The sequence below is a fragment of the Homo sapiens genome, chromosome 3 (assembly GCF_000001405.40).
Source record: "Homo sapiens chromosome 3, GRCh38.p14 Primary Assembly".
NCBI classification, from domain to species: domain Eukaryota; kingdom Metazoa; phylum Chordata; class Mammalia; order Primates; family Hominidae; genus Homo; species Homo sapiens.
In genome coordinates, this window is record NC_000003.12 from 72,175,591 (window position 1) to 72,199,763 (window position 24,173).

The 24,173-nt window shown below is 45.2% G+C and overlaps 10 annotated features.

Moving 5' to 3' along the window:
• Positions 759 to 868: an enhancer, noted in NCBI's record as "active region_20077". NCBI's record gives its function as "activates an Ori minimal core promoter by ATAC-STARR-seq in GM12878 lymphoblastoid cells {active_cell/tissue: GM12878}" and the evidence as "EXISTENCE:reporter gene assay evidence [ECO:0000049][PMID:35858748]".
• Positions 1,459 to 1,588: an enhancer, noted in NCBI's record as "active region_20078". NCBI's record gives its function as "activates an Ori minimal core promoter by ATAC-STARR-seq in GM12878 lymphoblastoid cells {active_cell/tissue: GM12878}" and the evidence as "EXISTENCE:reporter gene assay evidence [ECO:0000049][PMID:35858748]".
• Positions 1,459 to 2,140: a biological region, named in NCBI's record as "H3K4me1 hESC enhancer GRCh37_chr3:72226281-72226881".
• Positions 1,540 to 2,140: an enhancer, noted in NCBI's record as "H3K4me1 hESC enhancer chr3:72226281-72226881 (GRCh37/hg19 assembly coordinates)". NCBI's record gives its function as "activates a minimal SCP1, AML or CMV promoter by ChIP-STARR-seq in primed H9 embryonic stem cells {active_cell/tissue: H9 hESC(primed)}" and the evidence as "EXISTENCE:reporter gene assay evidence [ECO:0000049][PMID:30033119]".
• Positions 1,909 to 1,968: an enhancer, noted in NCBI's record as "active region_20079". NCBI's record gives its function as "activates an Ori minimal core promoter by ATAC-STARR-seq in GM12878 lymphoblastoid cells {active_cell/tissue: GM12878}" and the evidence as "EXISTENCE:reporter gene assay evidence [ECO:0000049][PMID:35858748]".
• Positions 1,979 to 2,028: an enhancer, noted in NCBI's record as "active region_20080". NCBI's record gives its function as "activates an Ori minimal core promoter by ATAC-STARR-seq in GM12878 lymphoblastoid cells {active_cell/tissue: GM12878}" and the evidence as "EXISTENCE:reporter gene assay evidence [ECO:0000049][PMID:35858748]".
• Positions 2,129 to 2,268: a silencer, noted in NCBI's record as "silent region_14526". NCBI's record gives its function as "represses an Ori minimal core promoter by ATAC-STARR-seq in GM12878 lymphoblastoid cells {active_cell/tissue: GM12878}" and the evidence as "EXISTENCE:reporter gene assay evidence [ECO:0000049][PMID:35858748]".
• Positions 10,568 to 10,862: an enhancer, noted in NCBI's record as "tiled region #12200; K562 Activating DNase matched - State 5:Enh". NCBI's record gives its function as "activates a minimal TATA promoter and a strong SV40 promoter by Sharpr-MPRA in K562 cells {active_cell/tissue: K562}" and the evidence as "EXISTENCE:reporter gene assay evidence [ECO:0000049][PMID:27701403]".
• Positions 18,066 to 18,758: an enhancer, noted in NCBI's record as "NANOG hESC enhancer chr3:72242807-72243499 (GRCh37/hg19 assembly coordinates)". NCBI's record gives its function as "activates a minimal SCP1, AML or CMV promoter by ChIP-STARR-seq in naive H9 embryonic stem cells {active_cell/tissue: H9 hESC(naive)}" and the evidence as "EXISTENCE:reporter gene assay evidence [ECO:0000049][PMID:30033119]".
• Positions 20,691 to 21,259: an enhancer, noted in NCBI's record as "OCT4-NANOG hESC enhancer chr3:72245432-72246000 (GRCh37/hg19 assembly coordinates)". NCBI's record gives its function as "activates a minimal SCP1, AML or CMV promoter by ChIP-STARR-seq in naive H9 embryonic stem cells {active_cell/tissue: H9 hESC(naive)}" and the evidence as "EXISTENCE:reporter gene assay evidence [ECO:0000049][PMID:30033119]".

Genomic DNA, 24,173 nt, shown 5'->3' on the forward strand with positions numbered 1-24,173 from the left:
ACCCCTCTAGCCTCATCTTGAGCCCTCTACCCCTTAATTCCTGTTTAGCCAGTCAAAATGTACTGGGCAGTCTCTAGCCTCAGGACCTTTGCATATGCTGTTCTCTCTGCCTGGAAGTCTCTTTCTCTTCCTAGTCCTCAATTACTCCTTCTGATTCTTCAGATTTATGTCTCCTTACTTCCGCAGAGAATTCTGCCCTAATCCCAAGACCAGGTTGAGCCTACACTCTGTACCAGGCACTGCCCTTAGTCACTGCCCAGCTTCCAGGAAGCCGCTCCATTCATAGCACTCTGAGAAAGCTTCCCATTTTCATGCTTTTGCTCCCTCTATCTGTGATCTCCTGTCTTGTTGTTGTTGTTGTTGTTGTTGCTGTTGCTGTTGAGACAGTATCTTGTTCTGTTGCCCAGGCTGGAGTGCAGTGGCACAGTCATGGCTTACCATAGCCTCAACTTCCTGGGCTTATGATCCTCCCACCTCAGCCTCCTGGGTATCTGTGACTACAGGTGCATATCATCATTCCTGGCTCATTTTTGCATTTTTTATAGAGACGGTGTCTCACCACATTGTCCAGGCTGCTCTTGAATTTCTGGGCTCAAGCAATTCACCCACCTCAGCCTCCCAAAGTGCTGGGATTACAGGCATGAGCCACCGCGCCCGGCCCATCTGTCTTACCTTTATCCATTTGGCTCCTTTGTATAATTCATAGCTCAGCCTAAACATGACTTTCCCTGAGCACCTAAAGTAACACATTACACTCTGCATAACACTTAAACAATTGACTTTTTTTGTCTTAGTCATTGGATAGTTCCACCAGCAGGTATACCCCAGTAAAGAAAGTTCTTGTCTAATTTGCCCAACCCTGTATCACCAGAGCCTGGCACACTGCTTGGCCCATGGTAGGAACTCAAATCTTTTAAAAGCGAATTGCAAATTTGGTAGTAGTGCTTCAGCAGCCCTTGTGTCTGTGAGGCTGACCTCTGCAATGTCTGGGGTCAGATCCGTCCGTTTGCGGTCACACCTCTTTTCGTAAGACAGGCCCAAGTGGTTAGTTACCTGGCTCACCATGAATATGTGTTAAGCCTCTGAAAGGCGCTCTCAAGGTTGAGTTCCCACTGGCGCAGATGTCTGTGCAAGTGGTTAGGTGACCCAGTAAGAGAGGGGAAGTGAGACAAGGAAGGGAGAAAAAGCCCTACAGGGTGTGTCTGTGGGGAACTGGGGTCCGCAGCATGGGGAGTAAAACACACCTTAGCTATCCCCATGGAGGGGCACTGGACCTGGGGTGTGTGTCCACCAGGCATGGCTGAGGGCAGCTGGGGACTGGAGGGGTAACACCCTGGAACTTCTGGCCTGGCTTGTACCAGGGGCTGGGCTGGCTGGGGCAGCCAGAGAGGACCCTCAGGCAAAGCCAGCAGTTGTTGGAAACCGTTAGGGTGGGATCAGCCTGCCCAGGAGTGAGGGGCAGCTGCCACAGGCAGAGCCTGTTGGGATCTGTGACAGAGACCGGTGGAATGAATGAGCTGACATCAGGGAGAGGACAGTGGGGTGAGGAGCAGGGCGGTCAGGCGTGGGGAGAGACAGGGGCCATGCCGAGGCCAGCTTTTACAGCCGCGCCTGGAGCAGCTCAGGGGTCTTAGGAGGGAGAGGTCCTTCCGACTGACGATGACTCATCCCAGGGGTGGGCCTAGGAGGATCCCGAGCCCAGAGTCCAGGCTCAAAGCCATCGGCAGTTACTTGGCAATTTATTCCCGGTTTCTCAGAGGTAACAGCCAACGCAGGAACAGTGTGTTGCTCCCTTTAAAAAGGCTTAGAACATTCCGGAAAGAGACCTAAATTTAATAGCAGGAGAGAGGGAGGAGGGGAAGTGGTTGCAGAGCCTGGAGGGAAGCCAGGAATCCTGCCTCCTCCTCCCCAGCCGCAGAGGACATGCGGACATGTGTGGGCAGGTCCCTTCTGACCCATGGCAGGTCCCTGTTGATGGTCAGGCTGGGGATCGTGCAGGCCTTTTTGTTATCCCGGGGTCTCCTTCTGAGCTATGCTAACACTGTGCAGTGCCTATAACCAAGAAGAAAAAGGAAAGAAACAGAGGAAACTCAAAGCAGCCAGCCTCTCTGACTTGTGAGCAGCTTGGGTAAAGGACCGGTGGCTGAGCCAATTTTTAATCACAGCTCACCTGCCTAGTACCGCCCGTGAGACCAGTGACCACCGAAGCCGGGCGAGGGCCCACGCCTCCCCTCGCCGTGGTTTCTGTGGTTAACTCCGCTGCACTGAACACCTCCCCTCCTCCCCTCTTCACTTCTGCGTGTGCGCCGCGTCCAGACCGACGGCCCTAAGGCTGCTTTAACCCAAGCACTGCCGGTCCGTGGAGGTCCCCATGGACACCCTCACTGCACAGGGGTTAGGACCTTGCCTCTGGGGCCAGATGGTCTGCGTTCAGAACCTGGCTGTGCCAACCACTGGGTCCCAGTTTCTCCGAGCCCCGCTCAGTGAGAGTGTCTTCCCATAACGGGGGTGAGCCTCACGTCACCCCGTTCATCTGGGGCCCAGGGAAAGCACGGTGGTCTGTTTCAGCACTGGAGGAAACAATGTCTGTGTTGACCTCATGGAGAGATGGCTGTCCTCTCCAGGGAGGTCCCTTCCCAGAGAATTTTGAAAGGCAGTTTGACTGTTAGCAATTTTTGGTTTAGACACAACTTTAGAATCTTTTCTCCTGTGTTTCAAGTGACTTCCATCGGTGTGGTTTCTCCAGGGGTGATCCCAGGGACACCAGCTTGAGAATCACCTGGGGAAGGGGTAGGGTGGGGGGAGGAGGGGGCTTATCAAATGCAGTTCCTTGGGACCAGCCCGTTCTTTGCTTCTCTCAGAACCCCTGTGAGTAGATGGATAATCAACCTCCTTTTACCATAGATGAAACTGAGGCTCGGAGAAGTTAGGGGACATGCCCGAGATGATTTAATTAAATAATGACAGGCATATCTTCAACTGCTGCAGCCCCTGCCCTGGTCACAGGCTCCCTGTGGACCCCACCTGCTAAACATAAACAAACCCATAGTGCAGCAGCCACAACTCAAGCTGGGAGGCCTTTGTGGAGGTTGATTTTTATCTCCCCGCAGTCAGGCACAAGTGAGAATTTCATAAATAGTTCTAACAAAGCTGCCTTTCACAGCCAGCTCTTTGCACTGTAAAAAATAATAATAATAAAATAAAAACCTGATTTCAGAAACCATGTCCCCAGGCTTCATTGTTTCTTTCTGTTTTTCAACTCTTTGACATTTTACTCACAGGGGAACTTTCTCAAACACTTCATGCATCCATTCAACAAAATTTATTGAGCACCTTCTATGTGTCAGGGGCCATACAAGGTGATAGAATCAACTGCTGTGAGTAAGATGAAGGTCTTGCCTTTATGAAGCTTCTACTCAAGAAAACAAAAAGGGAAAGTGTCAGGGGAAATGAGAGCTAATAAGTAACATTAGGCAGGTGATAGGGTTTAGGACATGTTACCCCAAAATAGAGCATCTTGGCATCTGAGAAAACCAGCAGAAGCGGGAAGGTCTCTTTGACCCCAACCCTTCTCCCCTGAAGCACACCATCAAACATCATAGAATCCTCTGACCTTCTGCTGAAGTCGGTCATAAGAGCCTCATGTGGAATACAGTGGAATACTACTCATGTGGGCAGTGCCTACGTCATAAGCAGAGGAAAGGAGAGTATATGAAGCAGGAACTCAGCAAAGAATCTGAACAAACAGGCCCCCAGGTTATTATCAGTAGATCACACCCCCTTTGTCCAATCGCACTGCTCCAGGACTATCCACCTCTTCATGAAACTTAGCGTAAAAATACACAGGTTTCCCCGTTGTTGTTTTTTGCGGTCTTTCACTTCTAAAGGGACCCATGTCATATAAAACTATATTAAATAAATTTCTATGCTTTTCTCTTGTGAAAAGAAATCTTTCCTCCCCTGCACAAGGTAAGTAAGATAGAGTGTGAAGGTGGAGAGGTGTCATTTATTTTAACTCTAAAAGATAGGGACTTTTACAAAACATAACCTCAATGCCATTATCACACTTAAAAAATAACCAGGACTCCTTAATATGCAATCATGTCCCATCAGTGTTCACACCTCCCCATTGTCACGAATATTTTTGCATGCTATGAACCTTACTTAAATTCAGGTTCTAACAAATCTCTTTCAGTCTTTAGGTTCTTACCCATTTCCTTTCTTCGTTTTTGTTTCTTGCAGGTTTTTGTTGAAATGGCCAGGTCATTTGTCCCCTAGAATATCCTGTGGTATGGATTTTGCAGATTGCATGCCCATGCCATCATTTCTTCTGTTAGGAGGTGCCATTGTATGCAGAATGTGACATCTGAACAGAGGCTGGAATGAAAGACAAGGGCGGGAGCCATGCAGAAATCTGAGAGTAAGAGGGTCCCGTTCAGCTTTCATTTTTTCTTAGCTTTACTGCTCATAGTTGTGACCTCTGAAACCTCCTTCTTTTTTCATGTAAGTTCCCCTTCCCGACTATTACAAGTAACTCAGCTGGCCGGGTGTGGTGGCTCACGCCTGTAATCCCAGCACTTTGGGAGACCGAGGCAGGCAGGAGTTCGAGATCAGACCAACATGGCGAAACCCTGTCTCTAATTAAAAAAAAAAAAATTAGCCAGGCATGGTGGCATGCAGCTGTAATCCCAGCTACTTGGGAGGCTGAGGCAGGAGAATCGCTTGAACCCAGGAGGCGGAGGTTGCAGTGAGCCAAGATCACGCCAATGCACTCCAGCCTGGGTGACAGACTGAGACTCTGTCTCAAACAAACAAACAAACAAACAAACAACAACGACAACAAGTAACCCAGCTGCCTTCATCAATCTACAGTGAAATATGTGTGGTTAAAAGCCCTTGGCCTTAAAAACTGGAAACAACCTGAATTTCTATCAGCAGAACAAATCAATCAAGTGCAGTATATTTCTACAGTGGAATACTACTCAGCAATGAAAAATGAATGAGCTACTAATTCAAGCACTATACACATGGGTAAATCTCAAAAACAAGTTGAGTGAAAGAGGCTGGATACAAAACAGCACACACTGTAGGCTGCCACCTATGAAGTTCAAGGACAGGCAAAACTACTCTGAGCAGCACTTTCTTTGGGAGTGATAGTGACTGGAAAAGGGGCATAAGAGAACCTTCTGGAAGGCAAGGGATGCTCCATAGCTTGAGCTGGGTGGTGGTTGCATAGGTGTACACATAGGTAATAGTTCCTTACACTTAAGATGTCCGTATCTTCCTATATGTAAGTTATACCTGAATTTCAATAAAAAATTAAAATCAGGTGGACTTTGGATTCAGGCAGACCCAGCCACTAGTTAACTGTTTAACCTTTATCAGTTCTCCCATCTGCTTAGGTCCTCAGTTTCTTCAGCATAAAATGGAATAAATACAACCTACTTCATTAGTATTGCATGCAAAGCACTTCACACAGTGTCTGGCACATAGGAAGCCCTAAAAAATAGCTATTATTCCTTAATAACATTCTTACTAATATCTACTCAGCTCCCAACCCATGGCAAACTCAGGGTGCAACCTCAAACCAGCAGACTCAACATTTGTCTCAGCTCCACGCGACATGTGTCTATTAGGCTCACCAAAGGACTCATATTTGTAACTTGTTCTTTAATGATATGCACATTACCTCCTGCTGCTATTCTTTTAACATGTTGCTTTGATTTGATCTAATTGGAGCCACAGCGTGGTTAATCACAACATTTAGTGGGAAGTTTGAAGAAGCCAATGGGTCCCTCATGTGTGTTGGGCTGCAACGCCGGCCCCTGCCAGGTCTTCCTGGAGCCTGGAGACAAGAGACTTATTGGGGAAACATACTATCCATCTGGAATCCTTTCTCAGAGGACCTTCTTGGCAAAGCTGCTGCCAAACATATGCAACTGGTTTTTCAAGAAATTGCAGTTTATTGGGGCTGGGAAGTAATCTCAAAATTGACTTCTTCCCATCCATTTCCTTTCTTTGTGTTTGATTCTAGCGGTTTCTGTTGGAGCGACAGGTCATTTGTCACGTCTGGATGTTGCTGCCTTCATCTCTGCTCAGCTGAATTCCCACTTTCCTTTGGGTAATGTCTCCCTTGGTGACATCTTGGTTCAATTCTGGAACTTTTCAGACACTTTGAGTTACTAGAAAAAGCCCATTCCAAGAAATGAGACTTAGTGCTTTTGTAAACGTGTTTAAGTATAAAAGACATGTAGAAAAGTACACAGATTACAATTATACAGGTCAATGAATTTGCATGAAATGAACACATCTGTGCAAACTCAGATCGATAAATTAAACATGATCACAATCTTAGAAACCTTCCTCTAATCATCCCCTCACAAGCTACCTGCTGTCTTGACTTCTAACACCATAGATTTGTTTTGCTTCTCTCTGAACTTGGTATGAATGAAATCAAATAATGTGTCAACCTAACTTCATTGGCCAGCACCTTTGTCTCTTTGCCTCTTTGCCTAGGGGCTTCCTCTGAGGATTGGAGCCCACTCTGCCACAGCTAGCAGCAGGCTGAAATTAACCAGGGAATTACCACCTTTCAAGACCAGGAGGCAATCAATGGCTCTCCAGAGTTGTTGAATCAGTATCCCAGCCCCTATGAGGAATATCTCAGAAGGCATGGTCTCTATTGACTGTCAGATGTCCCCAGTAGGACTAAGCTCCTATTGTCTGCAGTGATACTTTGCTCTGTGACACACTCTGAAGAGTGTGTCTTCCTCCCTTCCCTGACTCACTTCCCCATTTCTCCTATCAATGTTTCCTGGAATCCCCTCCTAAACACACTAATTGCAGTAAATGCCTTGTCTCAGAGCCTGCATCTAAGGGAACTGTAACTAAGACAACCCATGATTGTCTTCCAATTCCTTTTGCTTGACCTCAGAAAGCACAGTCCCCTTCCTTTCCCCAGTGGGGTTAGAATAGCTTTAAAAAAAAAAAAAAGAGGCAGAAGCAGGGTGAGGAGGAAGAGAAAGAGGAATAAAAGGAGAAGGAAAGGAAGAAGGAGAAGGAAAAGAAAGAGCTGAAGGAAGATGAAAGAGATGAAGGAGAAGGAGAATTATACTCCCTCCACGGCTATAGGACTCTCCCCTCTCATTTTGTTCTTTTAATCTGATAGCTTATGGAAAGCTAATGATGATTAGTTGGAATCGGGCCCATTCTGCCAACCTCATCGGGCCTGAGGACAGTGTGCTGCCTCCTTGTTCTCCCCAACCCCAGCGGTGGTGCAGAAATCTCCCTAGCTCTGTGCCACTGTCAGCCAGTCTGAGACAATGGGAGAAAATGCCACTTAGTCTCCTGTTATACATTTTCAAGGCTGGTCTTAGCCTCCAGTCTTTCAGGCTTCCCCCAGACACCAAGAATTTACATCCTCATCATTCTTCATCTTCCACTTGGGACCCTTCACTGGGGCTTAGATTCTTCCAGCGTGCCCCTTCCCAGTCCTGGATGACTGCCTTCTAAAAACAGAACCGCTCTTGGCACACCTAGCAAAGCAAGGAGCTGCAAATCGCTCCACTAATGGACTCCACTGGGATTTCAGAGGCAAACTCCCATTGTAAGATTTCTGTGTCAGAAACTTCCACCAAACTCCTGCGTATTCCTCTTGCTGTCAAGCAGGAAAGGCCAAGATTCTAGAATATGCAGTTTTCAAGTTCATGTCTGCCTCCACAAGGCACTCTTGGAGACTGTAATGTGCTCACTGATTGGGCACATTTTCAGTATAAGTTGATTTGCAGGTGGCTGGGACTGCAGCATCAGGCAGAGCCCTCCCCAGAATCCTTGACACAGGGGGCTGAGGTTGGGCCTCTGGGTTCAAAATCCTCTAAAAGCTGTTGGCAAAATGTGTGTATTTGCTCACCTGCGTTGTTCTGAGGAATAGTTTTGTAGATTTCCACAACTCCTCAAAGTGGCCTAGGACCCTATATTATTTGCAAACTATGCATCCGACAAATGTCCAATGTCTAGAATCCGTAAGGAACTCACACAAATTCACAAGCAAAAAAAAAAAAAAAAATTAAGAAGTGGGCAAAGGACATGAACAGACACTTTTCAAAAGAAGACATGCGTGCCGCCAACAAGCATATGAAAAAATGCTCAATAACACTAATCATTAGAGAAATACAAACCAAAACCACAATGAGATACCACCTCACATCAGTCAGAATGGTTATTATTAAAAAGTCAAAAAATAATAGATGCTGGTGAGGTTGTGGAGAACCTTATACACAGCTGATGGGAATGTAAATTAATTCAGACATTGTGGAAAGCAGTAAAACAGAATAACCAGGTGACTCAGCAATCCCATTATTGGGTATATACCCAAAGAAATATAAACCCTTCTACCATAAAGACACATGCATACGTATGTTCATTGCAGCACAATAGCAAAGACATGGAATCAACCTAAATGCCCATCAGTGTAGATCCAGTGGACTGGTTAAAGAAAATGTGGTACATACACACCATGGAATACTATGCAGCTATAAAAAAAGAACAGGATCATGTCCTTTGCAGCCACATGGATGAAGCTGGAAGCCATTATCCTCAGTAAACTAACGCAGGAACAAAAAACCAAATACCACATGTTCTTACTTATAAGTGGGAGCTAAATCATGAGAACTCATGGTCACATGGGGGGAATAACACACACTGGGGCCTATCAGAAGGTGGAGGATAGGAAAAGGAGAGGATCAGAAAAAATATCTATCGGGTACTATGCTTAGTACCTGGGTGATGAAATAATCTGTACACAAAACCTCTACGACGCACAGTTTACCTATATAACAAAACCTGCACATGTACCCCTGAACCTAAAATAAAAGTTAAAAAAAAAATAACTCCCTATTGGTAAGAGAGCTGATTATTTGAAAACTGAGTAACCCTCCTAGGCTCCTGTGATCCCACTTCAACTTTACCAAATAGACACAGGTAACCCAATTATGGCCAATTAGCCTTGGGGCTGGGCCCTAGACCATGATGCACCCCATTAAATAAACCTAACTCCAGAAGACCTTGAGGAGTGATGCAAATCTCCTCCTCCAAGAACATTTGAATCACACCCCGGAACGTAGGCTACATTTCCTCTTCACACATTTCTTTTCTCAAATTCTCACTCATGGAAGCAGCTACTTCCCCCAAATCTCCTTTCTCTGCCTCTTCCTAAAGTCCCCCTCTTGCCCCTTCCTCTCACCTCATGCACCTCTTTTTTTCCAGGTAGCTTGAGCCTTTCCTAACTCAAGTCTACTTTGCCTCTCTCAGCTTCTTACCACTGTCCCCTCCACTCATTAACCTGGGCAGCTCAAGGAAGGAGCTATGGAGCCAAGCAACACAGGCATAGAAGTCCAGAAGGTAGCGGAGGCGCAACAGCTCCAAAAGCTACGTCCAAATTGCTTTGTTGGTATCACATTGGGTAGACAAAAATGAAACCAAGGCAAAAGTTACCCTTTATTTTATTTTTATTTTTTTTGAGATAGGGTCTCACTCTGTCACCCAGGCTGGAGTGCAGTGATGTGATCACAGGTTATGGCAGCCTCAACCTCCCAGGCTCAAGCAATCCTCCCACCTCAGCCTCCCAAGTAGCTGGGACCACAGGCACACACCACCATGCCCAGCTAAATTTTTTTTTTTTTAGATGGAGTTTCACTCTGTCACCCAGGCTGGAGTGCAGTGGCGCGATCTCCGCTCACTGCAAGCTCTGCCTCCCAGGTTCACGCCATTCTCCTGCCTCAGCCTCCTGAGTAGCTGGGACTACAGGCGCCCGCCACCACGCCCAGATATTTTTTTTTTTTGTATTTTTTAGTAGAAACGGGGTTTCATCATGTTGCCCAGGCTGGTCTCAAACTCTTGGGCTCAAGTGACCCTCCTGTCTTGGCCTCCCAAACTGCTGGGATTATAGGCATGAGCCACCACCCCTGGCAGTAGTTACCTTTAAACTTAAACTGTATTATGTAAAAAAAATGAAGTAGGGCTGTTTGAACTGACATAGATATCTAAGATATATTAAGCAGGGAGGACCAGGGCATACAGAAAAGTATTACTTCCTTAAGAGTAAGCCACCTGGGACACAAAATTTAAGGGTGTGCTCGTTGTCAGGGTTGTGCAAACCATGTCCCTGTGCTAACATGAGCCTGAGAGTGGGTGCCTCCTTAAATTCTGCACCCTTGGCCTGGCCCTGATATGAAAAGAAAACAGTAAAGCAGAACCATCTTACACATGTGTAGTATGATCTCGTATGTAAACACTACACATGTGTATTAAATATATAGAAATCTCTGAAGGGATCACACCCAACGTGTTGATAGGGTTTCATTCTGAGATGTGGCATTGGAGGGAAGAGAGAAGGGCTTCCCTCTTAACTGTACCCACTTCTGTACTGTTTTAAATTACAAAATAACAATTATATATGGCTCTTATAATTTTAGACAAGCCAGAAAATAAATAGAATAGTAAACCATATTACATGTAGAAGGGTCTACAAAAAATATATACACAGACTGTTAGGATTTTTTCTGTGGTCAGATGCAAATTGTGAAAACTGAGACATGTTGACGATTCTTTTTCCACTGATTTCAAAGCACCCTCAGTCCGCATGGCAGCCGCCACCTCTGATTCATCTAGTTTGAGGTCTGTTCATGCAGCAGATGGAAGTTAGCATGCCCTTGGGATGACACAGCAAGGGTGGAGTGTGATAACGTTTCCCTTTCTCTCCTCTAAAGTGAGGGTGAAGGCAACAATCAGCTGCCCCTTCCCGCGGGGCAGCACTGTGATGGGAAAGAGTGAGGCAGAAGAGGCTGGGACTGCCCCACTGCAAATGTCTGGCTGGCCTGGGAAGGCTCTCAGCCATCCATGAAGAAGCCTACAAATTAGAATTGTTTTTCCAGACTCTAAACTTTCTAAGCAGTGATATTTATCCACCTATCTTATCCAAGTTTTTCAGTGAAATGTTTAAAATGTACACATTACTCCAAGCAGAGCAGAAGAATATAACTGACTTCATTGTTTTCCTTCCTGGCATCCTCTGCATGTCCCTCGACCCTGGCTCTTCCTGCCTGACTCAGGAGTTCTGCATCATTGGCACTGTTTCCATCTTTCTTGGAATCAGACAGGAGATATACCAAGCCTGTTGCCCAAGGGTTTCTTATCAACACCCCAAAGAATTGTGAGCTTACTGGAGAGTCCCTAGAGCAGTGGTTCCCATCTAAGGGGAATTTGCACCCCAGGGGACACTTGGCAATGTCTGGAGACACTTTTGGTTGTCACATCTTAGGAGGAACTCTTGGTATCTTGTGGGTGGAAACCAGGGATGCTGCTATAAGCAACCTCCAATGCACGGGGAAGCCCCCACAACACAGAATTATCTGGTCCAAAATGTCAATAGTGCTGAGATTGAGAAACCTTGCCCTAGAGCCTCACTACTCAAAAAAGAGTCCATGGACCGGCAGCATCGGCATTTCCTGGGAGCTAGTTGGAAATGCAGAATCCCAGGCCCCACACAAACCCCAAGTTGAGATAGAGCAGAAGATGAATAACCCCCATGTCGATCAGGATGGGCTAGTCAGTAAACCCTTCCTGTAGAGGGCGATAGTAGGTACTTCAGGCTTTGAGGGCCAGATGATCTCTGTTGCAACTACTCAACTATGCCTTTGTAGTGTGGCAGCAGCCCTACATGGTAAGTAAACAAATGCACATGGCTGTGCTCCAATCATTTGGCCAGCATCACTTTGCTGACCCCTGGACAAAGTCCATCTGTGGAAACAAATGATCCCCCAAATAGTGAAGATTATTTCTCATGCACACTGCATGTCCATCATAAGTTGTCTGAGGGCCCTGCACCATGCCAGCCCTGGGCAGGAACCCAGGGTCCCAGCTTCCACCATCACAACCTTCACTGATCATCAGGGAGGGAAAATACATAGCAGGCACGGCACATGCGGTGCACAGACCAAGCATGCGTTTGCTCCTGGAGCTTCCACCTGGAAATACCACCCACCTCTCTCACATTTTATTGGCCAAAGCAAGTCATGTGGCTGTGCCTAAATTCAAGAAGGTGGGGACATATTCCCAGAAGGATGGCAATGCCTAATGACTACCTGGATCTCCTCTCCTCAGAAATCCCAGCCCTACCATAGGCTTAATTCATCCCATCTATGAATTCCATTAACTGTCTGGATAGACTTGAGCAGAGTTGCATCTCAGATTAGGCATGAACCACTTAGTGGTAAATGCATCTCTTCCTCATGCCTCTGTAAGGAATAACAGTGCAAGTATACATTGATGCGATTGTCTGTACTGTGCCAGGCACTGAGCACTTAATATATTTCATTTCTTTCCAATCTCACAACAGTTCTAGGAGGTGAATGTCATCTGCCTTTTACAAATAAGAAAACCCGAGACCGAGCGATGATGTAGCTTGTCCAAGGCCACCAGCTGGTAGATGGTAGAGTTAGGATTCAAGTTCAGGTCTGTCTGACCTCAAAGCCTGTACATTTTAACATCATCATTTTTTTTTTTTTTTTGAGATACAGTTTCACTCTGTCACCCAGGCTGGAGTGCAGTGACGCCATCTCGGCTGACCGCAACCTCGACCTCCCAGGTTCAAGCAATTCTCGTGCCTCAACCTCCCAAGTAGCTGAGATTACAGGCATGAACCACTACGCCCTGCTAATTTTTTGTATTATTAGTAGAGATGAGGTTTTGTCATGTTGGCCAGGCTGGTCTCAAACTCGTGACCTCAAATGATCCGCCTGCCTCGGCCTCCCAAAGTGCTAGGATTACAGATGTGAGCCACTGCACCTGGCCTTTACTTTTTTACTTTTAATCTTCACAATAATCTGATGGGGTATGTATCATTAGACCCATTTTACTGATGAGGAAAAGGGGCCAAGAAGTTAATTAATGTGTGTCCAAGCTCAGATATTCAATGGTAGAATCAAGATTCCAACCCAGATCTATTGACACCGAAGACTGTGCTTCTAACAGTTTCTAGCACTGGGACATCTGTTCTGTAAGTGAGGCCCTAGGGCATGTAGGTGCCTTGCCCATATCCTTGAGTCTTACTACTTCAGAGGGCATCAGCTGACTGTCAACTGTTAGGACTTCTGTCTCTTTGCTTGAGGGCTTTCTCAGAAGTCACACAAGGAAGTCATCTCTGTCTGTGCTCAGGGAAATTCAGAAGAGCTGAGAGATCACCACCAGAGAACCAGCACCCTGCCCCTACCCAAACTTTCAACCAAAGATTGGCAGAGTAGGTGTGAAACATCCCGGCTCCCTTGCCTCCTGGGCCCAATAACTCTGCATGTACTCTACACTGGTTCCCAGAGGCCACAGTAACTATGTCACCTTCAGTAGCAGCTGACTCAATCACATACTCATTATTGGCTGTTATCTTGGATTGTCAGATTTCACAAATAAAAATTACAGGATCCCCAGTTAACTTTGAATTTCACATAAAACTGATATTTTTGGTAGTGTAAGTATGCTCCAGGCAATATTTGGGTCACATACTAAAAAATGTATTCTTTATTTGTCTGAAAAATATTGCATAGGACATGCTTATGTTAAAAAATTATTCATTGTGTGACTTTCTAATTTAACAGGCTTCCTGTATTTTACCGGGTAACCCTACAGCCAGTCCTTTCCTAGGTCATAGCCTCACTTCCCTACCTCCATCTCCAACTACACTGCTTATATTTGAATCCTTGTCTCAAAGTCTGTGCTAGGAGGAGCTCAAACTAAGATGTAGGGTGACATAAGGAGCCAAACATGTCTGCACACAAAGAGATTTACTGATGCTTAAGGGCCATCTGGACCCCACTGGAGCCAGGACAATGGGGCCACCAGCCAAACTCTACAAGAACCATTTCGAATTCAGCATATATGAAAGAGAGAAGGCTTTCTTCTCATATTGCCACTACTACTACAGCTGGAGGCTTACTGTGGGCGGTAGTTCTTTATCTTCTCATTATATGCTCTTCCGGTAAGCATTGAAAGACATAGACATTTCTAGGCACTTCTTATCTGGGATTTCCTCTACTGCATTCAGCACCAATAGATCAGACAAATACTCAGGATGACATAGTCCCTGCATGGACCAGATCCTGCTGCCAACTGAATACCCATCCCACCCACCATCTTCTTTCTTAACATACCTTGATTTTGTTCACCTCCTTCAGAGCAGCTGCATTCTTCAGGAGAAGCTGAGCTATCCACAGAGAGTGACTCTTTTTCAGTGCAAATCAACCATGATAATGCCATTGCCTCTGCCAATATGTGATTTAGAAATGGATATGAGATGCACTGCTGGCCCGGGGGACATGAGAGGCCATATGGGAAACACCTAAAAAGAGCCTTCTTTATTGTGACCCTTGAGCTCCTAAGAGGCACGAGTAGTGGATGCTAGCTGTACAACCCAGATCCTCTTTCAAGACAAGCACTTTCCCCGTACCTGCCATGAGTGCTTTATCTGAGGTCACCCCACCACCACCTACTCAGCGTCAGCACACATCCAGTGACTAGTCAATGCAGAGGTACAAAGGTCCAGCCTCTTGCCACGGTTTTGGAAACTCTGAAGCTCCATTCCAGCTCCAGAGGGCCCTATGAGTTCAGCTGAGGCCTCTGTTGCAGCCGCATCGTAGCTCAACTCCTCATTTTGGCCAGCCTTGCCTCTCTCACTCCCTAACAGCTGTTGTTCCTAAGAACATTCTCCAACAACCTCCCTGCACACAAATTTCCATTTCAAGGAACTGGTGTTAAGACAACATATGAGGAGCAAGTTCCCTTGTTCACAAGCAGATGTTGCTTTCCACACATGCAACTACAGTGGCCATCTTGGGACCATGAGGGGAACCAGCCTAAGAAGATAAGTCCATGCTCTGAGGACAACAGAACAAAAAGATAGAAAGAACCTGGGTCTTCAATGATGTCATTGAGCCACTAAATTAACCAACTCTAGAACTGCCCTACTTCTAGGATTCTGGTTATGCCAACTAATAGAAGTTCTTTGTCTTAAAACCTCTTCAAGTTGAATCTTATGTTGTTTGCAGCCCAAATCATTTTATATTATATACTACATATCAGTAGGAGGCAAAGGGAAATACTTCAAGCCAAGGAGGCACCCAGAACAGCATGGATTCCAAAATCCAGCACTTAGGTGACTTGCCAGAGTACTCCAAGTCCAGATGCAGTCCCCTCCCCTCATCCTTTTTTTTTTGTGTTTTTTTTTTTGAGACGGAGTCTCACTCTGTTGCCCCGGCTGGAGTGCAGTGGTGCAATCTCGGCTCACTGCTAGCTCCACCTCCTGGGTTCACGCCATTCTCCTGCCTCAGCCTCCCGAGTAGCTGGGATTACAGGTGCCCGCCACCATGCCCGGCTACAGTCCCCTCATCCTAACCACTGTGACACTTGTCCAGATGCAGTCCTCTCATCCTAATCACTGTGACATTCCCTCTCCTTTTTATACCACTGTTGTCCAGCAAAGCCAGAGGCTAAGAAGTGTGCAATTCTTTGCACAACTCTGAGAAAGAAGAAATCCCTAGATAATATTTTGACACCTTGTAATTCATGGAATAGCCATGCCTCTATTTCACTTTCTCCTTCTTTTCTTGTTACTTAGAAAGAAAATAGCAGAGAAACATGTCAGGCCAGGAAAGGCTAAATCATCCCAAGCGATGTCAACCTCATAAAATTATGAAATACTGTAGGATGCTCAAAAAATATTTATACAGTTTTTCCCCCTCTTGTGATGAAGTAAGTTATTGAGCTGCATTTCCAGGCCTTGCGACATCTCAGTAGCCCTGTCTCAAAAGTCAGGCGTGCCTTTGGCACACAAGCTGTTGTCAGTGAGCTAAAGATTATACAATCTGTGTATTAGGTACCTAAATACACAATTCAAGCATGTGGCCATTTTGGCCTGAGTCTTTATTTTCATCAGTTATATAGAAGATTGGAAGTTAAGATCAAGGGCTCTGGAATCAAACAGCCTAGAGTTAAGTGCTAGACTGTGGACAAATTATTTAACTATTCTGTACTTGTTTCAACATCATCTATATAATGGAAAAACTAATAGTACCAGTCAGCTTGGACTAAGTTATGCTGCAGTAACAAACAACGTTAAAATCTCAGTGGCTTGGCAACAACAAAAGTTCATTGCTTATTAGAGACACATGTCCACTGTTGGCTGTGGCTCAATTCCATGTGATCTTCATCCTGTAATGCAGATTGACATAGAAGTCTGTATTTGGGATACTGTCAATCTCATGGCAGAGAAAAAGAGATCCTGGCAGAACCACACAATGATTGTTAAAGCTTCTGCTTGGAAGTGGCACACATCAACTCTACCCATGCTTTATAGCCCAAAACTTGTCACACAGCAAGACTAAAGCCATGGGATAGAAAGTATAATTCTCTCACATGGAGAAGATGCCAGTGTTTTGAACAATAATACATTCTACCACACAAGCATACAGGATTGTTCTGAGAATTGAAGGTAAGGGGAAGACAGTAAGTTTTCAAAAAGTTAGCTATTATGAATATTAGTACCATCATTTTAAGTTCTAAGTTACTAACTGGGATAAGAAAGTTTTTATAAATAGGTTCTTCTATTCAGTAGTCATTTAGATTAAGCTTTTGAAAGTACTAACTGTAGGTAGCATGTTGATTTTGAGGTTCTGTGAATCAGTAACCAAGTAAATAAGGTTTATTTGACTGTAAAATGGGAATAAAAGTAATGTCTGCCATGTGAAGATTAAATGAGATGCCTGCAAATTCTTTGTCACTTTTCCCATTGAAAGTGAGTCTAATTCTCCTCCCCTGGAATCTGAGCTGGCTTTAGTGACCCACTTGACCAACAGAATGTGGCAGAAGTAATGCACTGGGGCTTCTGAGGCTCGGTCATAGAAGCCTTGCAGCTTTAGTCTAGCCCTCTTAGAACCTCTTAGAACCTTAGAACACTTGTTCTTGGAGCCATGAGCTGCCACATAAGCGAGAGAGGGATCCAGCTGACTCCAGTCTTCTGGCCTTCTGTGCCAAAGTGCCAGATATTTGAGTAGAGCCATCGTGAATCCATCAAACTAGCCTGTCAGTTTAACACCACCAAACAACCTCGGTTGATCCCTTGTAGAGCACAAGAATCACCCTGCTGAGCCCTGCCTGAATTCCTGGCTCACAAAATCATAAGATAGAATAAAATGGTTGTTTTAGCCACTAACTTTTAGGAGAGTTTGCTATTTAGCAATAGATAACCAGAACACATGCAAGCCCTTAGCAAAATACCTGACTCATAGTTGGTTGGGAAATTAATTGCTAATATCATTAGGTCTTGGGTAGACTCACAACTTACCTTCCCCCATTTAGTTTGGAATGCCCGTGACTTAAATCTGAGGAAAGGATGGTAAAGACACAACTTTAGTCAAATATTTCAGTCTCCTTGACATTTTCCTAAATGTCCATAAGGGAAGCCATAAACACGTAAGACAATGAGCCTAGGACTTTCAGGAATCCCCTGACTTCCCTTGGGTTCATTGGATACACATATGCCTAAATCTTTCAAGAAAGCTAAAATTCAATATTTTAAAATTCCTTAAAATTTCAGATAAAATTGACACAACTACATGGTGTCTTATGTTTTACCTGATGGTTCTGTGTATCCCTCAGCTTTGTACTCATTTTAAGAAGCAAGGACCCAGATTCTAGAGTTGGAAAGTTGCCACATTCAAGAATAGATGAGCATGGATGTCTGGGCTGGTGCTGTCTCTTTTGTTGTTGTTATTATTGTCATTGTCTTGTTTATTTTCTCAGCATAGGGACTTGGCCATTTTAGGTGGAGGTTGAAACAGATAAATGCTATAAGTTCCCCAAATTTCACTCTTTTTCCACCTGGGGACACAGCTAGACCATATTTCCTGCAGTTAGATGGGACCATGTGACTGAGGTGTGGCCAGTGGAATGTGAGCAGCAGAGATGGACAGCCCTTCAGGGCCTGGTCCCTGAAAAAACTCCTGTGTGACACTTCACTTTTTCTTCCCTCATCTGGAACACAGTCCCAGGAAGGACTCTGTGGCCCTAAAAGATGGTAGAACCCTAACAGAGAAGAAGCCTGGGTCCCTGAGTAACTGAGTGGAGCAGATCTCCATTTTGATCCCTACCATGCTGACCAGCATTGGGCTGTGACCTTAGTGAGAAATAAGCCATGATTACAGTAAGCCCCTGAGATGAGGGGTTGTTTTGTTCTAGCAGTGAGGCTGTCTTAAGGAATACAAAGATACGGGGCGGGGAACACATTGTGGCTTTCCCCTCTCTCCAACATGCGCAAGCCGAGGAGCCGCAGTGCCTCTGTTGGAGAGTTTACTGACAATAGTTACACTGCCTGTCACAACTCCCAGAAGAAAGGAAACAGTGGCTGAGAGGGCTGCCCCTACCCTCCCCAGTCTCCTAAGGGTATAAAGCATGAATCTTTTCTTCGCTCTTTCTCTCTGCAGGGGAACAGTGGGAAGATATCTAGCACATCATGTTCTGCTGGCTCCAGTGACAAGTCGATGAAATTCTATCACTCGTCCGACAGGAGACCTCAGAAGTGACTAATTTAATCCCTGAGGCCTCTTTAGAAGGAGAATCCTCAACTTTCTCGGCAACTCCTCCCTTTGCTCAGCCTGGTTTCCATGAAGCAAGATAGTCAGTCACACTCAAATCAGCTCAGCAGGGAGCAGATATTCTTAGAGTGATTCTTCCCTAATTTGGCTGACTGAATTGAATAGCTATTTATTAGAGTTCTAAAATGGTGCCTTTTGCGTAACACGGCCTTCACGCCATCCCCTGGAAATCACTCTGTCGAGAATGTAGGAAGGGGAAGATGCATCTGCCTTGAGCGAGGCAGGATAAGCCAGTTCCCGGGGCCAGGCCAGACTGGGAGGCAAAGAAATCAGCATCTATTACAAACTTCTTCAGCCTCAGGACTTGGATGTCCTTGGCCCCTATTCCCCAAGACCAGTTTAATGTAGTGGTGGGTGACTCAGAAAGGAGACAGCCCAGATCTGGAGGTCACACAGACCTAGGCAGACTTAGGTTTGACTCCCACAGCTAGCACCTGCTACCAGCTGTGTGATCTAGGGATGTAACTCAACCTTTCTGAGCTCCTGTTTCTAGAATATGGAGGTGGATAAAATCTAACTCGTAGAGTTCTTAAAAATGGGTAAATAAGGGCTGAGCACGGTGGCTCACGCCTATAATCCCAGCAGTTTGGGTGGCCAAGACGGGTGGATCACTTGAGGTCAGGAGTTCAAGACCAGCCTTGCCAACATGGCAAAACCCCACCTCTACAAAAAATACAAAAATTAGCCAGGCATGGTGGCATGCACCTGTAGTCCCCAGCTACTCGGGAGGCTGAAGTGGGAGGATCGCTTAAGCCCAGAAGGTTGAGAGGTTGAAGCTGCAGTGAGCTGTGATGGCACCACTGCACTCTAGCCTGGGTGACAGAGTAAGACCTTGTCTCAATCAATCAATCAATCAATGAAACAATTAGTGAAATGCCTGACTTCATTGTAACTCTCCCTCACTCACCTTCTGGAATCTTCAAAGTCACTAAATTCAAGTCCAAATTCTTGAAATTGACCTTGCCATCTGTATTAGCATTCTCTAGAGGGGCAGAACTAATGGAATATATATATATATATGAGTTTATTAAATGTTAACTCACATGATCACAAGGTCCACAATAGGTCATCTGCAGGCTGAGGAGTAAGGAGAGCCAGTCCGAGTCCCCAGACTGAAGAACTTGGAGTCTGATGTTCAGGGACAGGAAGCATCCAGCAGGGAGAAAGATGTGGGCTGAGAGGCTAGGCCAGTCTAACCTTTTCACGTTTTTCTGCCTGCATTATATTCGCTGGCAGCTGATTAGATGGTGCCCATCCAGATTAAGGGTGGGTCTGCCTTCCCCAGCCCATTGACTCAAATGTTAATCTCCTTTGGCAACACCCTCACAGACATACCCAGGATTAAGACTTTGCATCCTTCAGTCTAATCAAGTTGACACTCAATATTAACCATCACATCATCTTACTGCTCCTCGGTGGCCATTAATGTGAAATTTGCAGGGAAAACAAGCTAGAAAAATAAGCTTGAGATTTCAGAGCAGTAGCCATAGTGGACCTGGTAGCTGAATCTTCACAGAACCTTAGAGAAGAATAGGGAATAGCACCTCTATCTAACACTTAAATGGGCTCCTGTATGACCCCAAGTCTCCCAACCACCTATGTCAATCTCTACCCTGCACTACGGAACAGGAAAAAATTGGAGGCTGGCTGGCAGACCACACCACACTCTCCTGCCATACCTGAAACACATCATCAGATCATCCAGTAGCCAGGGATTACAAATACATGGCATGCATCTCACTACTCTCCAGTCCTGTATCTGTGGCAGACAGCATTAATCAATCACAGCCCTCTTCCCCACTGAGCCCAGACAAGGCAGCAGAAGTCTTTCCCACATAGCACTCCAGGCAGAGACCACCAATCGATCAGAGATGTTGTGTAGGTGCAAACCCATTTATGAAGCCATAGACATTTGCCCTCTGGAGTGGCCTAACCCCAGAGGGTGAACAGGCAGCCAGAGAGATCCAGTAAGGAGGAAACCAAGATGGATCGTTGAGCTTTCAAGTACTCACAAGAACTCATTGTATGAGTGCTAACAAAATCTGGATGTGGTGATGCAGTTAGCCATGGAATCCAAGTTTGGAGGGCTAGTCCCCGAATCATGATTTCTGCACTTTCTAGGTATTGCTTTGCTGGGCATTTTCTTCCCTATGGCAATGAGGTTTCCTCAGGAGCATGAGCAAAACACACAGAGAGGGCGGTCATCTTCACACAGTTCTGAGCATCGTCAGCCAATCCTCTAACTAAACACTGGTGTCAGCAAGACCCGTTAACCAGAGCTCATCCCACCCCTAGAACTGTTAACAAGACAATGACATACAGTGCAGGGTGTTAAATCTTCTAAGGCAGGAATCCTTGTCTTCAGCGAATGGCCATGAATCAACTAAACAGGATATGCCAGGATGTTTAAGATGGCCATATATTTATTTATGAGTGAATGACCATTTCGGTATTTCTGCCAGTTACCTTTATGGTTTTTATGAGATTTGGATAACATTTATTTATTGCCCATACTGTTTTCCATTCACAATGGAGCTTTGTTTGACATTTAGAGACATTTTAAATGTTTTTTACTGGTTTCTCTGGCATGAATAAAGGGAGCTTTTTTCTTTGGGTTTCTGCAAGGAACTCATGCAAAGCTAATTTGGATGATAAAATGATACCATTTCAAACATCTTCATGCTCGGATTATATTATTTGAACCTTTTCATAGGAAGAGATTAATTATGTGGTTTGCATCACTAACCTTATAATTTTAATAACAAGGCTGGTCAGATGAAGGGCCAAAATATATCTTTTACAGCAGAATATGTTACATCATGAAAATATCTTCTGTTCCTACTCTTGGACTGTGCTTATGTGCTTGCTGGCAAGCCAAGAGGTAAATTTGTTTAATTGTTTCTAGAATAGGCACTATATACCCAAGACAAAGCTACACTATTTATTATTGTTGTTAACTACAATATGCATAGCTCCCATTTATTGAAAGTTTATTATTATGCCCCGACTGTATGCATAATCTCATTGCAACCCAGGGAAGTGAGAACCAGTGTTCCCTGTTTTCTGGGTGAGGAAACTGAGGCTCAATATTGGTAAGTAGCATGCCCCGATTCCCCCAGCGGGTACATCATAGAGGCAGGACTCACGGGCAAATTTGTCTAACGCAAAGATGTATCTGTCTCCAGCTCTACTCTGCTGTCGTTGCGATTCAGGCTTTCAAGATCCCCCTCCCAAATTATGTTATGTGGTCAAATCCATGAAAAAAAAAATCCAATTGGCTGCCAAATATAATGTAGACATAACAAAAAGCTAATTAACTGAAACTCTTATTTTCTAGCCTATCCTTGTGGTTTTAGGGAAAAGTAATCTGAGCCCTGGAGCTGGTGACCCACTGGTTTGAAGGGGCCCAGGGGCTGTGTTGTCCACTCAGAGGAGCCAGGGTACAGAGCCTCACTTCTTCCCTCCTTTTTGCCAAGTGCTCTAATCTCCTGCCATGATGTCTTCTGTCTGGCTGTCTACCAAACCGTCAGGAGAGCATCACTCCCGCCATCACAGTAATTATCATAAGCATCACAAACCACTCCAGCAGCCGCAGCAATAGCTTGCTTTATGGTGCACCTACTGCCTGCCAGCCAGGCCCTGAGTGCCACATCATAGATGTGCCTGCTTTCATTTTATTCTCCCAACATCCCTGGAAGGTGGGGGAAATACTCTGCCCATTTTACATGCTGGGACACTGAGGTTTCACTTGGATCTGTCCAAAGTCACACAATGTGTATGAGCTGGGGACTGGAATCCAGGCTGCTAACTCTAGGGACTAGGCACTTAGCCATTGTGAGAGGCTGAGAGACCCTTCACCAAAGGGACAAAGGAACACACCCAGGACAAACTCAACTGGTGGTCCCAAAGCTGCAACAAGAACCAGGGCTCTCTCTTCACCCTAGAACTTTCTGCACTGCCATACTGCTTCCATTCTTCCTCCCCAGTTGTTCCCCAGCAAACAGGCATGGACGGTTGGCCACTATATACCAGGAACTGTGCGATATGCTGATGGGAAACAACAATAAAACAAAAATTGGAAATAAGTCATGGTTCCTGTTCTGAGGGAATCCAATGTCAGACTTCCCTGTGTTAGATTCCTGTCATCCACGCCATTAGCTTTGTAAACTTGGGCAACTTACTGCATCTATCTGAGCCTCAGTTTCCTCAACTGCAAAATGGGATAATATTACTATATGGCTTTTTTTTTTTTTTTTTTTTTTTTTTGGAGACAGGGTCTCGCTCTGTCACCCAGGCTGGAGTGCAGTGGCTTGGTCACTCAACCTCCAAGGCTCAAGTTATCCTCCGGCCTCAGCCTCCCAAGTAGCTGGGACTACAGTTGCATGCCACCATGCCCAGCTAATTTTTATTGTTGAGTTTTAGTAGAGATGAGGTCTTGCTATGTTGCCCAAGCTGATCTTGAACTCCTAAGCTCTAGTGATCTTCCTAACTCGGCCTCCTAAAGTGCTGTGATTATAGGTGTGAGCCACTGTGCCTAGTGTTACCTGCTTTAAAAGGTTACTCTGAGGATAAAAAGAAATATACCAGGGCTTGTTTAAATGGGTTAAGGTATGTAAAACACCTGGCACCTTCCCTGGATATTTTTAAGCTCTCAAAAAATGAGGGCAGCTATTTGTTCGTGTCCCTTGAGTGTGAACCTAGGGACTTGCTTCTAACAAATACAATGCAGCAAACACTATGGGACATATAATTACACTCACAAGTTGGCATCCAAGTGCCAATCTAGATTAATAAGAGGCAAATTCCAAAGGAGGGAGTTGAGATGTGAATTGGAATGGTCTGGGATGCTTTCACAGAGGAAACATGGTTTGACAGTTCTTGAAAGTTGGGCACCTCGAATTTAGATAATGAGTAATAATTTTAAAAATGTATAGCTATCATTTCCTACCTACTAGACACTTGACAGATGGCACTCTATTGCTTATAACTCCATATGTTTATAGACTGTATTTAACAGCTATGAAGAAATTGAAGCTCAGAGAGGTGAAGTGACTTGAACAAGATCAGACGACCACAAAATAATTGGACCAGGAGTCAATCCCCACCTGTTTGACTCTTTGGCCTGCTCTTCTCTCTTCTGTAAAGGTCTTTGGGGATAGCCCAAATAGTGGTCCAGTGGGAAAAGCTGCCCCTGTGTCTGGTGGTGAGTGGGGTGCAGTTCTTACTACTGTGACTGGTGCTGAAAACAAGGTCTTCACCTGTTGTACATGGTCCATGCACAGAATTCAGGAGGTCTGTGAACTTTGGTGGAAATACAAATTATATCTTCCTTTTCCTTAACATTTACCTGACATTTAGCACTGCCTTCCATTTTGAATCTAGGCAATAAACCACAGTACTGTTAGCAGTGCCTGTGGCTTTTTCAGCAATAGATCACTTGGCGAACGCCCCACAGCAACAAGGGGAATAACCTGGCTC